Consider the following 18,198-nt stretch of genomic DNA (forward strand, 5'->3'; position numbering starts at 1 on the left):
TTGTTGTTACTGTAAGAATTCTGAATCTTATCAAGGATGCAGTCTAAGTGAACTTGGAAGAAAGCTTTAGTTTCATATTTTCTGGCTAATGTTCCATAAATGTCATAACTTGGCTGTTTAATGGAGAGTATGTTTTTTTAAATGTAATAAATTTGCCAAACATTAATGAAGGGAAGAAGAGAGAATAATGGAGAAATGCCATCTCAAGCTTGAAAACATCAAAATTAGCAATAAAAATAGAAGTTTCTTATCAGGAGTGGGAGGGAGATCATTATAGGCATTAAAATAGACACAGTCTGATCTTTGCTCCTGGTTTCCTATGAGGGACTCATGGGGTAACCTTGACCCAGCAGTTCCACTGCTTCATGCCTGTTTCCTCCATTTGTCCCGTGGGAACTGTAATATTCATTTGATTAAGTAACATTTAGATTTCCAGCTGGTACAGGGAAGTTGTAACAGTCCTGCAGATGACATGGCCTTAGGTCATCCTCATGCCCCCATTGTCCAGTATGGCTCTGAGCAGAAGACTCGTGTGATATTCATAGTATCCAAATTCAGTAAGTCTACTCATCCTTAAATGAAAGCTGCTTTGTAGGAAAATCTCTAACACCAATGATGACTTAGAATGGGAGAAAAAATTAGTGAGATTTAGTTGGACTCAGAAAAAAATTTAAGACAGTAGTTTTATTACTTAGAAAGATTCATGTTAACTAGGATCAAGTTAAATCCTGGCCTAATGGCAATTTTTTCACAGAAACTACTTTGACACATCTTTAAGAATGGTCTGTTTTTAATATATTGTCTTTGCATTCTTCTGAAGGTGCTTCTAAAGTGAGGGTTCATGAAAACTGCCTTACATAATTTAAGCTTTCTTCTGCAACCATATGTACGGTGTCATTGGTTTACTAAGAAATTATTTTAATGTTAAATTTTATGTACTTTTTAAAATTCTTAACTAGAGGGGCCCAAATACATGAGGTTTTATTATTGTGGTTCTTTTATGTTTTGTTACAGGTTTTCTCTGCTCACAGAGTGCTTGGCAAACATAATAAATGCTTGAGTTAACTGATAAATAAATGAATTAGCGAAAGGCTGTAGATCTAACCCTCATAGTTAGCCTTACTTTATTCTATGTGTGGAGACAGAATCCCTGATCCTGAACACCCATTCAATACCATTTGCAAAGGCCATTTGTACAGTCTAGCCCATGAAGAAAAGCATATGACTGCAATGAGATGTGGGGTTTATTCCATCGTGGTAGTCTTCTTGCTCACAGTGACAGACTTCAGCACTCTTTCCACACTTATGCATTCTAATCAAAGAGTTAGGGAATGCGTACACTTCCTGCCTGCAGCGGTGTTAGAAAGAGTGTGTCGTGGATTTTCTCTTTATGCCAGATCAGAGCTGTGGTGGCCTCCCAAGCCTTCCCATGATGAAAAGTAAATAGAGCAGGGCATCTACCAGATTCCCAAACCAAGTTAGTGGACCATCCATTGCAGATGGTAGCCCAAATGAAGTAGTCCTTTCTCTGGGCTTACTGGGCCATTCCCATTCCACATCTCACAGTGGTCCTACAACTATATTGCATACAGTAAACTCTAAGGGTTATGTAGATAATGAGTTCTTTTTTCATGCAGAAGAAGCTAATGACTTTGAGAAGTCAGAGATGCCTGGAGGCACATGGATCTCCTCTGCCCAGGCTCAAGGAACATCCCAAACTTGTGTCCTCCCAGGCTCTGTTTTTTTAATATACATATATATATATATATATACACACATATATGTGTATATATATATATATATTTATTATACTTTAAGTTCTAGGGTACATGTGCACAACGTGCAGGTTTGTTACATATGTATACATGTGCCATGTTGGTGTGCTGCACCCATTAACTCGTCATTTACATTAGGTATATCTCCTAATGCTATCCCTCCCCCCTCCCCCTACTCAACAACAGGCCCCAGTGTGTGATGTTCCCCTTCCTGTGTCCAAGTGTTCTCATTGTTCAATTCCCACCTATGACTGAGAACATGCGGTGTTTGGTTTTTTGTCCTTGCGATAGTTTGCTGAGAATGATGGTTTCCAGCTTCATCCATGTCCCTACAAAGGACATGAACTTATCATTTTTTATGGCTGCATAGTATTCCATGGTGTATATGTGCCACATTTTCTTAATCCAGTCTATCATTGTTGGACATTTGGGTTGGTTCCAAGTCTTTGCTATTGTGAATAGTCCGCATTAAACATACGTATGCATGTGTCTTTATAGCAGCATGATTTATAAGCCTTTGGGTATATATCCAGTAATGGGATGGCTGGGTGAAATGGTATTTCCAGTTCTAGATCCCTGAGGAATCGCCACACTGACTTCCACAATGGTTGAACTAGTTTACAGTCCCACCAACAGTGTAAAAGTGTTCCTATTTCTCCACATCCTCTCTAGCACCTGTTGTTTCCTGACTTTTTAATGATTGCTGTTCTAACTAGTGTGAGATGATATCTCACTGTGGTTTTGATTTGCATTTCTCTGATGGCCAGTGGTGATGAGCATTTTTTCATGTGTCTGTTGCCTGCATAAATGTCTTCTTTTGAGAAGTGTCTGTTCATATCCTTCGCCCAGTTGCTGATGGGGTTGTTTGTTTTTTTCTTGTAAATTTGTTTGTGTTCTTTGTAGATTCTGGATATTAGCCCTTTGTCAGATGAGTAGACTGCAAAAATTTTCTCCCATTCTGTAAGTTGCCTATTCACTCTGATGGTAGTTTCTTTTGCTGTGCAGAAGCTCTTTAGTTTAATTAGATCCCATTTGTCAATTTTGGCTTTTGTTGCCATTGCTTTTGGTGTTTTAGTCATGAAGTCTTTGCCCATGCCTATGTCCCGAATGGTATTTCCTAGGTTTTCTTCTAAGGTTTTTATGGTTTTAGGTCTAACATTTAAGTCTTTAATCCATCTTGAATTAATTTTTGTATAAGGTGTAAGGAAGGGATCCAGTTTCAGCTTTCTACATGTGGCTAGCCAGTTTTCCTGGCACCATTTATTAAATAGGGAATCCTTTCCCCATTGCTTGTTTTTGTCAGGTTTGTCAAAGATCAGATAGTTGTAGATGTGTGGCATTATTTCTGAGGGCTCTGTTCTTTTCCATTGGTCTGTATCTCTGTTTGGGTACCAGTACCATGCTGTTTTGGTTACTGTAGCCTTGTAGTATAGTTTGAAGTCAGGTAGCGTGACAAAGGATGTAAAGGACCCTTTCAAGGAGAACTACAAACCACTGCTCAATGAAATAAAAGAGGATACAAACAAATGGAAGAACATTCCATGCTCATGGATAGGAAGAATCAATGTCATGAAAATGGCCATACTGCCCAAGGTAATTTATAGATTCATTGCCATCCCTGTCAAGCTACCAATGACTTTCTTCACAGAGTTAGAAAAAACTACTTTAAAGTTCATATGGAACCAAAAAAGGTCCTGCATTGCCAAGTCAATCCTAAGCCAAAAGAACAAAGCTGGAGGCATCAGGCTCTCTATTTTAACACATCTTGACCACTCTGATTGTCTTTCTTGCTCTCCTCTGCCGTCTAAAGTGGGGAGATCCTGCTCAGTTGCTGGAATTTAGTAGTCATGGAAGCTTTCTTTTTTCTTTCTTTCTTTTTCTTTTTCTTTTTTTTTTTTTTTTTTTTGAGACAGGGTCTCGCTCTCTTGCTCAGGCTGGAGTGCAGTGGCATGATCGTGGCTCACTGCAGCCTTGAACTCCTGGTTTCACACAATCCTTCCTCCTTAGCCTCCTAAGTAGCTTGAACTACAGGCATGCACCCTCACATCCTGCTCTTTTTTTTTTTTTTTTTTTTTTTTTTTTGAAGAGACAGGGTCTTGCTATATTACCCAGGCTGGTCTCAAACTCCCGGCCTCAAGCAGTCCTCCCACCTCAGGCTCCCAAAGTCCTAGGATTACAGGCATGAGCCACTGCACCCAGCCAAAACTTTCTTAAACACATCTCCAAACAGAGCTAATCTTTCCTTTCTGTGCTCCCAAGGACTCAAATCACAGTGGACACAAAGTCTCTGCTTTCCAGTTTTTCTCAAAGAGCATTTTTGAGGAGGGACTGTGAGCATTTCGAAGAGGAGAAGTGATCTTTAATCCACAGTGGATCCCCATTCCCCAGCATAGACCAACTTCTCTGTAAAAGTCTGCAAATGAGTCAAAATCAAGCAACAACTTCACAATCGCAGAGCTGCTTCCTAGCATTCTTAACTCTGGTATCAATGGTGCTAAGTATTCTAGAATAAATTTCTCAAAAGGATAGCAATCTTATTTCTAATATGGCAGCCTTCCAATAAATAACATGGCAGCTGAGAAAAGGAAAACAATAGTCAAATGTCATTGAAACACTAGTTACCTATGTAGATTATGTCTGGATTCACAGCCCAACTCACCATCGGCAAAACTCTTCCCTGATTATATTACACTTATGATGGTCTCAAAGCCTTTTCCAAAAATAAGAAAGTACATTTTCTGACTTAAAACTTGTAGCATTTTCAGATCTATTAAGATGAGATTACCACAGTAAGTACTTCTGTATAGAACCATTCCACAAAACATTTATTGGTTCCTATGAGTTTTTAAGGCGTTAAATCTGATATCCAACAACTGACTGTGTTATTATCAGTCCTGCCTCACAAATTGCTCTGCTACATAACAAAACGAGGTTTTACAGATCAGAGTGATCAGCTGGAGTCATTTCAGGTATTTCCCTGAAGGTCTTAAAATGGCAACTTCTTAAACAATGCACCCAGCGACTGGCATCCTCATCATATTGGCTAAAACAACTGCTATTTTTCTTATTCTGTCTTTATGGTAGATACCATTTTCTTTTTAACAGATGGAATATAGGGAGAAAAATTCTAGCCTGTTTTACTCATTAATGAGTCAGAGGAAAAGTCCCCACTGCTTCTAATTATCAGGAGTCATTGTCAAGATCTCTAGCAAGGAAATGTGTTTACGTTATCAAGAAAGTTAACAAATTGCCAAACTGTACACAGTAAGGGAACTTTCATGAGCATGCTGCTTGTCCCCAACTCCTGTACCTACCCAGGTCCTGGTGATCTGGGTGGTAACTGTGATACTGGGATCCAATTGTGAACATCATAAGAGTGTTTTTGTAGAAACTAGGGTAAAACATACCTCTGAGGATAAATAGTAACAATCTGCTGAACTTGCAGCTTTGCTTCTTTTCCATAGCAAATGCTTCACCGCTGCTAGGCAAGCAAAGGTGCTCTACTGACACCCCCAAAACCCCAAACATCCACTGGCTCTTAAATAACAGGGTGAACATGATGTCATCATGAGACAGTCTGGTTGGGGCCAAGAGTTTTTGCAGGCATGTAGTTTGAAAGGGCTGAACTTGTCTTCTGCCATCCCCTAAAAGATCACGTGAAGGTCAGACTAGGGCTTGGAAAGGCTCACTGCATTTATGCCCTCTCATTAACATGGAAGAGCTACCTTTTTATCAAAAGCCAGTCCCTCCCATCCTACCAGAAACCTCACTATCTCCTTCCTCCCCAACGTCCTTCTCTTTCCCTTATCTCCATCCTCTCTGTCTGCTTCCTCCTTCCCATCATCATTAAACATGCTCAAGTATCTTTTAACTCTGACAACCCTTCCCTCCCTAAACCTCATGCCACCTCCAACCACATCCCTGCTTCCCTGTGTCAGCTGAAATTATCCATGTCAGCTGAAATTAAAGCATTGCTTTCACTCACTATATCCAACTCCTCACTTCCCTCTTTCTTCTTAACCCTCTCCACTCCTGTTTTGATCCTACCACCTCACCAAACTACTATCATTATCAAGATACTAAGGACTATAAAGCTAAACATAGCCATGCCATATAACCCAGCAATCCCACTCCCAACAAAAATAACCTAATGTTCAAACAAAGCCTGTATGCAAATGTTTCTAATAGCTCTATTTGTAATCAACAAAAACTGAAAATAACTAACCTGTCCCTCAACCTATGAATGGGTACACAAATTGCAGTCTGTGTACACCATGGAACACTACTCAACAATGGAAAGGACTGAACTGTTCACTCATGCAATAGCTTGAATGATTCTTAAATATATTTCATTAAATGAAAGAAACCTGGCTCAAAAAACTATGTACCATATGATTTCACTGATAACGTTATGAAAAAAAAACAAAAACCTAGGAATGGGAAACAAATAGTAGGTTTCCAGGAGTGGAGACAGAAGAGTGAACTACTATGGGATAGCATGGTAAAATGTCAGGGTGATGGAACTGTTTTGTATCATGGCTGTGATGGTAGATAGCCAACTCTTTGTATTTGTCAGAATCCATATAACTCTACAGGACAAAGTGAATTTTACTGTGTGTATGTATAGTGTGTGTGTGTGTGTGTGTGTGTTGTGTGTGTGTGTGTGTGTGTGTGTGAAAGAAAATCAGGATGTAGAGGCACCCCAAAATGAAATATGAACTGAGACTTTTTTTTAGACAAGGTCTCACTCCGTTGCCCAGGCTGGAATGCAGTAGCATGATCTCGACTCACTGCAGCTTCGACTTCCCAGGCTCAAGTAGTCTTCCCACCTCAGCCTCACAAGTATCTGGGACTACAGGCACGTGTCACCATGCCCAGTTATTTTTATTTATTTATTTATTTATTTTTTGAGACGGAGTTTTACTCTTGTTGCCTAAGCTGGAGTGCAATGGCACCATCTCGGCTCACTGCAGCCTCCACCTGCTGGGTTCCAGTTATTCTCCTGCCTCAGCCTCCCTAGTAGCTGGGATTACAGGCACCTGCCACCATGCCCAGCTAATTTTTTGTATTTTTAGTAGAGATGGGGTTTCACTATGTTTGCCAGGCTGGTCTTGAACTCCTGATCTCCGATGATCCACCCACCTCAGCCTCTCAAAGTGCTGGGATTACAGGTGTGAGCCACCACTCTCGGCTCTATTCTTTTTCAGTAGAGACAAGGTCTCACTATGTTGCCCAAGCTGGTCTCAAACTCCTAGACTGCTGCCATCCTCTCACCTCGGCCTCCCAAAGTGCTGGGATTACAGGTGTGAGCCACGGCACTTGGCACTCAACTAAGAATTTTTTTTTTTTCAGTTATAATGGTTACTTTTTTAAATTTTATTATTATTATACTTTAAGTTTTAGGGTACATGGGCACAATGTGCAGGTTAGTTACATATGTATACATGTGCCATGCTGGTGTGCTGCACCCATTAACTCGTCATTTAGCATTAGGTATATCTCCTAAAGCTATCCCTCCCCCCTCCCCCCACCCCACAACAGTCCCCAGAGTGTGATGTTCCCCTTCCTGTGTCCATGTGTTCTCATTGTTCAATTCCCACTTATGACTGAGAATATGCGGTGTTTGGTTTTTTGTTCTTGCAATAGTTTACTGAGAATGATGATTTCCAATTTCATCCGTGTCCCTACAAAGGACATGAACTCATCATTTTTTATGGCTGCATAGTATTCCATGGTGTATATGTGCCACATTTTCTTAATCCAGTCTATCATTGTTGGACATTTGGGTTGGTTCCAAGTTTTTGCTATTGTGAATAGTGCCGCAATAAACATACGTGTGCATGTGTCTTTATAGCAGCATGATTTATAGTCCTTTCGGTATATACCTAGTAATGGGATGGCTGGGTCAAATGGTATTTCTAGTTCTAGATCCCTGAGGAATCACCACACTGACTTCCACAATGGTTGAACTAGTTTACAGTCCCACCAACAGTGTAAAAGTGTTCCTATTTCTCCACATCCTCTCCAGCACCTGTTGTTTCCTGACAGTATTTCTGCTCTGTTTTTTCCCCATCTTTGTGGTTTTATCTACTTTTGGTCTTTGATGATGGTGATGTACAGATGGGTTTTTGGTGTGGATGTCCTTTCTGTTTGTTAGTTTTCCCTCTAACAGACAGGACCCTCAGCTGCAGGTCTGTTGGAGTTTGCTAGAGGTCCACTCCAGACCCTGTTTGCCTGGGTATCAGCAGCAGTGGCTGCAGAACAGCGGATTTTCGTGAACCGCAAATGCTGCTGTCTGATTGTTCCTCTGGAAGTTTTGTCTCAGAGGAGTACCCAGCCGTGTGAGGTGTCAGTCTGCCCCTACTGGGGGATGCCTCCCAGTTAGGCTGCTCGGGGGTCAGGGGTCAGGGACCCACTTGAGGAGGCAGTCTGCCGGTTCTCAGATCTCCAGCTGCGTGCTGGGAGAACCACTGCTCTCTTCAAAGCTGTCAGACAGGGACACTTAAGTCTGCAGAGGTTACTGCTGTCTTTTTGTTTGTCTGTGCCCTGCCCCCAGAGGTGGAGCCTACAGTGGCAGGCAGGCTTTCTTGAGCTGTGGTGGGCTCCACCCAGTTCGAGCTTCCCGGCTGCTTTGTTTACCTAAGCAAGCCTAGGCAATGGTGGGCGCCCCTCCCCCAGCCTGGCTGCCGCCTTGCAGTTTGATCTCAGACTGCTGTGCTAGCAATCAGTGAGACTCCGTGGGCATAGGACCCTCCGAGCCAGGTGTGGGATATATTCTTCTGATGCGCCGTTTCCTAAGCCCGTCGGAAAAGCGCAGTATTCACGTGGGAGTGGCCCGATTTTCCAGGTGCCATCTGTCACCCCTTTCCTTGACCAGGAAAGGGAACTCCCTGACCCCTTGCGCTTCCCGAGTAAGGCAATGCCTCGCCCTGCTTCTGCTCGTGCACGGGTGCGCTGCACCCACTGTCCTGCGCCCACTGTCTGGCACTCCCTAGTGAGATGAACCTGGTACCTCAGTTGGAAATGCAGAAATCACCCATCTTCTGCGTCGCTCATGCTGGGAGCCGTAGACCGGAGCTGTTCCTATTCGGCCATCATGGCTCCAGCCCTCTAATGGTATTAATGGCCTCTATAGCTTCATGAGGACTTGATAGTCCATAGCTTACTGCATCCAATACTGTGACACCCCACCCCACTGAACACACCTTCTTCTCTTAATTTCCAGAAACCACCCTCTCCAGCCTTCCTCCCACTGCATTGGCTTCATTTTCTCAGACCCAAGTTCTTTCTTCTCTACTCAACCTTTCCATGATGCTGTTCTTTGATTCTCAGACCCAGGCCACTCTCTCTTCTCTCTCTACAAGTTCTCCCTAGACAAACTCTATCACTCTTATGGTCTCAACTACCAAATATGCCAGTACTCACAAATTTACCTCTCACACTGGCTCCTCTTCTGAACTCCAGACTGACCTATGTTTCTATTATACCTTTTAGATACCTCTTAGAGGTATCCAATGTGTACTAGATTGTCCAAAACTAAACTTGCACCTGGCGTGGTGGTTCAAGCCAATAATCCCGGCACTTTGGGAGGCCAAGATGGTAGGATCGCTTGAGGTCAGGAATTTGAGGCCAGGCTGAAAAACATAATGAGACCTGTCTCCGAAAAACAAAAAGTTTTCATTAGCTAGGCATGGTGGTATGCACCTGTAGTCCCAGCTACTTGAGAGGCTGAGACAGAAAGATCGCTTGAGACCAGGAATTCAAGCCTGCAGTGAGCTGTGATTGCACCACTGTATTCCATCCTGGGTGACAGAGTGAGATCCTGTCTTGAAAACAAAATGAAACTAAACTATTCTAAACTCAGCATCAACCTCCACACCCATGCCTGCTTCTTTTTCTGGGTTCCCAACTCCTTAAAGGTGACCATGGTTGTCTGTTGTTTGTGCTAAAAGCTTAGACATTATCCTTAATCTCCCTCTTTGTCATTTCCCTCCAATCCAGATCCCCCATGGCTGATCATTCTCATTCTCTCTTGAATCCATGTATTTTCTCCTTTTCTACTAACTTCAGTGGCACTACCCTGGTCCAGGGTGCCACCACCTCTTATCTGCACTCCTCCTCCTATTTAGTCACCCAGTAGGCTCTTATGCAAACCTCCTTCACGTTGCAGCTGGGATAATCTTTTTGAAACACAATAAATTGTTGCATTCCTCTGCTTTAGGCCTGCTGTGATTTCCCATTGCTTTTATAATAAAGTCAAATTCCTGAGCACATCCTACCAGGCTCTGCAGGGTCTGGCCCCTGGTGACCTCCCCACCTTTATCCTCTGTGTACTTCCCCATCTCCCTCTGTCTCCTTCCAGACCTGCAGCAAATTTTTTTTACCTCAGGCCCTTTGCATGTGCTGTGTTCCTCACCTGCCCTTCAGTAATTCATCATTATTCACCCTCAGGCCTCAGCTGAAATGCCACTTCTGCCTCCCGTGACTCCAGAGACTAGATTTGCTTCCCTTATTACATGCTTTCATAGTTTCTCTTTCTGAGCATTTATTTTTTCCTATCAACCCCTCTTCTCTAAAAGGCAAGAAAGAAGTGGGTCAGGCTTATTCATTGCTTTCTAGAGCCAAGGATGATGTATATACTCAATAAATATCTGCAGGTGCTCCATAAATATCTATTGGACAGAAAAACAAGTTAAGGTAATCAGCTGAGTAACACACAGTACAATACATTGTATATAGGTAACGGTGGGCCATTGAAGGCATTCGTGCATGGAAAGACACTGGGGATTGTGTTAAAAGCATTAACATGGCAATCATGTGCAAGAAAGATTGGGGAAACCAACAACACTATTATAATGTAATAGGCCAGGCATGGAGGAATATAGCCTGGATTAGAATGGTGACAATAGGAAGAGGAAAAATTTATAGGATCTGATGACTAGTTGTACTTCAAAGGAATAAGGGAAAAAGTAGATTCAGAGATTAGCATCTGGCTGGACTCAGTGGTTCATGCCTATAATCCCAGTTACTTAGCAGGCTGAGGCAGGAAGATCCCTTGAGCCTGGGAGTTTAAGACTAGCCTGAACAACATAGCAAGATCCTATCTCTGAAAACACAAAAAAACATTAGCCAAGTGTGGTGGCTTATGCCTGTAGTCCCAGCTACTCAGGAGGCTGAGGAGGGAGGATCACTTGAGCCTAGGAGGTGGAGGCTGTAGTCACATCACTGCACTCCAGCCTGGGCAACAGGATGAGACCCCATCTCTAGAAAGAAAAAGAGAGAGAGAGAGGAAGGCGAAAAGAAAAGAAAAGAAGAGTCTGGAAATTTTTTAAATAGTAAGAAATTAAGAAGAAAAGAACTGGGTTTCAGAGGCAGCTAATGATTCCAGGCCAATAAATTGTCACGGTGATGGAGAGACTTGTGAAGAATTCCAAGTGGCCTAAAAAACAGAAGTCATATTTCAAAGACTGTCTGCATACCTCTTCCAAATCAGGACCATCTGCAAGGAAAGCTGAAGTGAAATCATTATTTATGCAGATAATTTTCTCGGCAGGTGGTCTCCTTTTCTTCAGGCAGAATTGTGCCAAGGCCAGGCCACATTTCATAGGCAGGAACAGCCACGGCACCAATGGGGAGGTACCTGCATTCCTCTAGGGAAACTGCCTGGAACTACAGGCCACGGATCTCTGTGTTCCAGGGGCAACACGCCTCCTTTTCTGCTTGCATGCCCTGGAGCTGCCGCTGATCTTTGGCAGAGGAGACCCAGAAAAAAGGCCAGTTAACCCACAGAACGTAAAGCCGTGCTTGTGAGCATGTGGGTTATGGACCTGATGACCTTTGGTTTTCTGAGGCAAAGGAGGAAGAGCAGCTCTCAGTAAAGCATATGGGATCTTATGGAAACAGAAAAGCTGCAAGGGCCCTAGGAGGTGTGGGACACGAGGAGAAATTCCAGAGACCTGCTGCTACTTTCACAGTTAGGTGTGAGCTGAGATTCGCACCTAACTGTGGAGGAGATACAACTGTTTTGCCCATCCTACACTTAGAGGAAAAATAAAGAGTGGCTTTAGACTACAAAGTATAGAGAAAGCAGAGTGTCTGAAATATGGAACTGAAGTTTGCAAAACCCCAAACAGAAAAGAAACCAGGACTTTGGGGACACTAAAAGCTCACTGAGGCTCTAGATGGATTGCTCTGTTCTGTGAGTGGAGAAGGGTCTACTCAGCTATATCTAGAGACCAAAGGCCAAAAGCTACAGCCTTGATACCCTCTGTGGGGCAGGGTCCATGCAAGCCACTTTCTGGCAGCTCAGGGACTAGACAAATTTCTCTGAGCTCTGTGGGAAGTTGGGGAATGGATTTAAGGTAAATTTCATAGGCTGTTAGTCTGCTCAGACTATCTGACTATCTCAAAGAGAGCAGCCTGTAACCCTCCCCTCTGAAGGGGAGCGTGTGTGTGTGTGTGTGTGTGTGTGTGTGTGTGTGTTAGAGAGAGACAGACAGACACACAGGGAAAGAATGCCTATTGGAAGACCCTGTCTCTGAAAAAAAAAGTTTTCATTAGCTAGGCATGGTGGTATGCACCTGTAGTCCCAGCTACTTGAGAGGCTGAGACAGAAAGATCGCTTGAGACCAGGAGTTCAAGGCTGCAGTGAGCTGTGATTGCACCACTATATTCCAGCCTGGGTGACAGAGGGTTCAAGTTCAAGACCAGACTGCACCCACTTCAGTCCACTCACTAAACCACTGTAGAAAAAACAACAGCAAGAAAAGCCATCAGGCACCCTCTCTAATCTTGCCCAGGAGTCCCCACCCTTGTTTGGGCAAATCCATTTCCCGGCTCCCAGGAAGAAGTTGGGAAGGCCCTTTTCTTTTTTTTTATTTTTATTTTTATTTTTTTCTCCTGCAAAAACTTTTTTTTTTTTAATACTTTAAGTTCTAGGGTACATGTGCACAACGTGCAGGTTTGTTACATATGTATACATATGCCATGTTGGTTTGCTGCACCCATTAACTCGTCATTTACATTAGTTATTTCTCCTAATGCTATCCCTCCCCCATTCCCCTACCCCACGGCAGGTCCCAGTGAGTGAAGTTCCCCTTCCTGTGACCAAGTGTTCTCATTGTTCAATTCCCACCTATGAGTGAGAACATGCAGTATTTGGTTTTCTGTCCTTGTGATAGTTTGCTCAGAATGATGGTTTCCAGCTTCATCTATGTGGCTATGAAGGACATTAACTCATCCTTTTTTATGGCTGCATAGTATTCCATGGTGTATATGTGCCACATTTTCTTTATATATATATATATATTATATATATATATTTTATTATACTTTAAGTTCTAGGGTACATGTGCACAATGTGCAGGTTTGTTACATATGTATACATGTGCCATGTTGGTGTGCTGCACCCATTAACTCGTCATTTACATTAGGTATATCTCCTAATGCTATCCCTCCCCCCTCCCCCCATCCCACAACAGTCCCCGGTGTGTGATGTTCCCCTTCCTGTGTCCAAGTGTTCTCATTGTTCAATTCCCACCTATGAGTGAGAACATGTGGTGTTTGGTTTTTTTGTCCTTGCGACACTGCAGGGGTAGATAGGTTACTAGTTTTGCCACTGCAGAGATGATTCCCACCTCAAATGCTGCCTCATTTCACCTGCCTTGAAAGGAGACTTGATATGATTTCCTTGTCTTTTATTTGCCTGCCAATAATATTCCACCTGATAAGAGGTGGCTGCAGTTGCATTACTGGGACAGCCCTTTTCTTTTATTTGTCCTCCTCCTCCCCTCCCTCTCCTGTCTTCACTATAGCAAAATAAGTCTTTGTGTCTCATTTCATTGGTCTTCAATCCTTTTAGGGTTTTTTTTGTTTGTTTTCATCACTCCACCAAGAAACAAGGGTCTGAGGCTGCTATTATGTTAGTTAGGTTGGTAATAAGCTTGAAGTTGCTACTCTACTTGGTCAATAAAGTCTGAGCCCAGCAGGTTGCACATCTGTTTCATTAAGAATAAAAGGTTTCTGTGCAGACAGCGACCCATTGGGTGTATGCAGCTGCCAGAGAGGACACTCTGTGACTCGGTATGAAGCCCAGGAGATAGCAATAGTGAACTTGTAACATACATTTAAATACATTAATTACTTTGGGTGTGAAAATTATCACAAAAGAGTAACAGTAAAATCAACATAACTAACCATCACCCTATCATAATAGGCCCTTTTTCAAGTCTGTCTGCTGATCCACAAGGTTGACTGTAAATAGGGTGCTTTCTCACTCTGTGTCTTATGTAAGACAAGCACTTAATACTTAAAGTGAATGTTGCTTTTAGCAAGGCTGTCATTTAGTTTGTGTCCTGGCCCAGTTTAGACAGTTGCCTTCAAGGCAATAAATATTATCAACTTTTCCCTTTTCAAACTATTTTGCAAGGAAATCAATTCTCATACTATAGAATATATTTCTAGTATGACTGCAGTTTTTATTATTTAGATCTTAATTATCTTAGGTATTTTGCTTTTCTATTTTCTTCCTTTTCATGTCAGCTTTAGAGAAATTAGATATTGTTTGTTTGTTTTCTATTTTCCTCATAAAATGAACTAGGAAAATAAAAATTCAGCAATATACTCCTATTATTAAATGCCCTAAAAATATATAGAAAAAATATGCCCAAGGAACCTGGGATAAATGTTTTGTATCAGAAATTTTGTGGCCACTTTGTGGCCCTGCTAACAAACATCCTTTAAGCTGCTTTTTATGGTGTTTCTTTTTCTCAACAAAACAAAACAAAACAAAAACAAAACAAAAAACAGTATTCCACGTTACCATTGCTAAAAAGAACTAAAACAACAAACTGCAATTTTTGGAGTCAAATCACAAAAGGAGTCAAGGTCAAAATACAGCCATGGCTTGATGAAGAAAAGCACTCCTGTGTTAACAGCATACATTATTGCAGAAACCCAGCTGATGGGACATCTGAGAAGATCATTAGCAGTGGCCACACGGTATTGGCACAAGTTTCATTTTTTTCCCTAATGGTTATTAGTGGAGTTTTATGATTCTAAATTATTCATAAAATTGTCTAAGACATTTAAATAATGTAAAAAAAAAGTTCTAAAATTTGTTTTTAAGTATTTGGATTCCCTTTCTATGCATGCTTGGGAACCAGCAAGGACATCCATTCCTGTGAGGGTATGACAGCCCTGGTGGACGCTTAAATCAAGGATTTGAAAATGATTTTTTAATGTTTGCTGTTTTCATTTATTCATATTCTGTTTGCACATTATTATTGCTATACTTGGGAGCTAATAATGAATTACATTGAAAGCTATACTCGTCAAGGTATTCTGAAGAAATTCAATGATTTCGATATACTGATGCAAATATTAGATTGGACTATATGAAATTGACATTGTTAGGTCGTTTTTGCTTGTAAAAATGATAATTTCATAATGTTTAGCCTAGTATTTTCATTTGGAAATTAGTCATCTTGTGCTTTTCATTGTGTTTTGGTTCTGGTTTTGCTTTTTGCTTTTTATACTTTTAAATTGTCTGAACAGTAGTTTATTTATCTTGGATGTTGGATTTTTAGTGTAAAATGTGACATATCCAGTGAGTGGAAGGGTGAAAAATAATTAATGGATATGGGATTTCTTTGGGAGGTTATGAAAATAGTCCAGAATTAGATAGTGGTGATAGTTGCACAATTCTGTGACTATACCAAAAGCCACTAAACTGTACATTTTTAGAGGCTCAGCTTTATGGTACGTGAATTATATCCCAATTTTAAAAAATCCAAAGGTGTAAAAATTGGGAAGGAATAAATAAAACTGTCTTTGGTCACAGATGACATGATTATCTACATAGAAAATCTGAAAGAACCAAAAAAATGTCCTGGAATGAAGAAGCAATTATAGCAAGGTTGTAGGATAAAATGTTAATATACAAAAGTCAGTTGCTTTCCTATATACCAGCAATAAACAATTGAGACTTGAAATTAAAAACACAATGTCATTTACATTAGCACCAAAAATTGAAATATTTAAGTATAAAACTAACAAAATATGTATAAGATCTATATGAAGAAAACTCAAAGCTCTGATGAAAGAAATCAAAGAACTACTAAATAAATGGAAATATATTACATGTTTGTGGATAGAAAGATTGAATATTGTTAAGATGTCAGTTCTTCCCAACTTGATGTATAGATTCAATGAAATCCTAATCAAAATCCCTGAAAGTTATTTCATGAATATCAATAAACTGATTCTAACATTTATATGAAGAGGCAAATGACCCAGAATAGCCAACACCATATTGAAGGAGAAGAACAAAGTCGAAGGACTGACATTCCCCAACTTCATGACTTACTTTAAAGCAACAGTAATCAAGATAATGTGGTATTAGTGAATGAATAGATAAATAGTTCAGCCAAAAGAATAAATTCCCTTCCCCTCAAGAAATAGACCAACACAAACATATTCAACTGATCTTTGAGGAAGGAGCAAAAGCAATACAATGGGTGATATGTTTGGCTGTGTCCCTACCCAAGTCTCATCTTGAATTGTAGTTCCCATAATCCCCATGTGTTGTGGGAAGGTCCTGGTGGGAGGTAATTGAATCATGGGAGCGGGTTTTTCCCGTACTGTGCTCAGGGCAGTGATTAAGTCTCATGAGATCTGATGGTTTTATAAATGGGAGATCCCCTGCACAAGCTCTCTCGCCTGCTGCCATGTGAGATGTGACTTTGCCCCTCATTCACCTTCCACCATGACTGTGAGCTCTCCCCAGCCATGTGGAACTGTGAATCAATGAAGCCTCTTTCCTTTATAAATTACCCAGTCTTGAGTATGTCTTTATTAGCTGTGTGAGAACAGACTCATACAATGGGGAAGATAGTCTTTTTAAAATAGGGTACTGGAACAACTAGACAACACATACAATAAAAAAAGAAAAGAATCTAGACACAGACTCACATCCTTCACAAAAACTAACTCAAAATGGATATAAATGCAAAACAATAAAGCTCCTGAAAGATGACACAGAAGAAAACCTAGATGACCTTAGATGTGGTAATGACTTATTAGATACAAGAAAAAAGCCACAATCCATGAAATAAATAATTGATAAGCCAGCCTACATCAAAAATTTCTGCTCTCTGAAAGACAATGTCAAGAGAATGAGAAGGCAAGCCAATAACTGGGAGAATATATTTGGAAAAGACACATCTGAAAAAGGACTATTATATAAATTATGCAACGAACTCTTAAAACCCAACAATAATAAGACAACCCAATTTAAAAGTGGGCCAAAGGACTTAGCAGATATGTCCCCAAAGAATATATACAGATAGAAAAAAAGCATATGAAAAGATGTTCTACATTTCATTAGAGAAATGCAAATTAAAATGATGAGATACCACCACACACCTATTAGAATGGACAAAATCCAGAACACTGACAACACCAAATGCTGACAAGGAAATGGAATAGCCAACACCATATTGAAGAAGAACAAAGTCAAGACATTCCCCAACTTCAAGACTTACTTTCAAGCAACAGTAATCAGGATAACATGGTATTGGTGAATGAATAGATAAATAGTTCAGCCAAAAGAATGAATTCTCTGTCCCCCAAAAATAGACCAACACAAACATATTCAACTGATCTTTGAGGAAGGAGCAAAGCCAATATAATGGGTGATATTTTTGGCTGTGTCCCCACCCAAATCTCATCTTGAATTGTAGTTCCCATAATCCCCACACATTGTGGGGATTCATTCATTACTGGTGGGAATGCAAAATGCTATAGCCACTTTGGAAGGCAGTTTGGCAGTTTCTTACAAAACTAAGCAGACTTTTACCATGTGATCCAACAATCATGCTCCTTGGTATTTACCCAAAGAGAAGTTGAAAACTTCTATCCACATAAAACCTTTACACAGTTGTTTATAGAAGTTTTATTCATGATTGTCAAAACTTGGGAGCAACAATGATGTCCTCCAGTAAGTGAATGGATAAATAAACCATGGTATATCCAGACAATGAACCATCACTCAGCACTAAAAAGAAATGAGCTATCAAGCCTTGAAAAGATATGAAAGAATCTTAAATGCATACTACTAAGAGAAACAAGCCGCCAATTTGATTCCAAATATATGACATAGGTCTCTATACAACATTCTTGAAAAGGCAACTAGGGAGAAAGTAAAAAAAAGATCAGTGGTTGTCAGGTTCTGGGAGGAAGGAGGGATGAATAGGTGGAGCACAGAGGATTTTCAGGGCAGTGAAAATACTTTGCATGATACTATAATGGTGAGTACAGGTAATCATACATTTGTCAAAACCTACAGCATGTACCATGCCAAGAGAGCATCCTATGGACTTTGGGTGAAAATGAAGTGCCAATGTAAACTCGTTGATTGTAATAA

At 40.9% G+C, this 18,198-nt stretch overlaps 1 protein-coding gene across 1 annotated transcript in view, besides 1 other annotated feature; it reads left to right on the forward strand.

Moving 5' to 3' along the window:
* KIAA1217 overlaps window positions 1–18,198 on the forward strand; it is an 853,117-nt gene that overhangs the window by 391,777 nt on the left and 443,142 nt on the right. The gene's annotated exons all lie outside the window — the stretch shown is intronic.
* Window positions 9,611–10,228: an enhancer, noted in NCBI's record as "OCT4-NANOG hESC enhancer chr10:24385043-24385660 (GRCh37/hg19 assembly coordinates)". NCBI's record gives its function as "activates a minimal SCP1, AML or CMV promoter by ChIP-STARR-seq in naive H9 embryonic stem cells {active_cell/tissue: H9 hESC(naive)}" and the evidence as "EXISTENCE:reporter gene assay evidence [ECO:0000049][PMID:30033119]".

Source organism: Homo sapiens, chromosome 10, assembly GCF_000001405.40.
Source record: "Homo sapiens chromosome 10, GRCh38.p14 Primary Assembly".
Taxonomy (NCBI): Eukaryota; Metazoa; Chordata; class Mammalia; order Primates; family Hominidae; genus Homo; species Homo sapiens.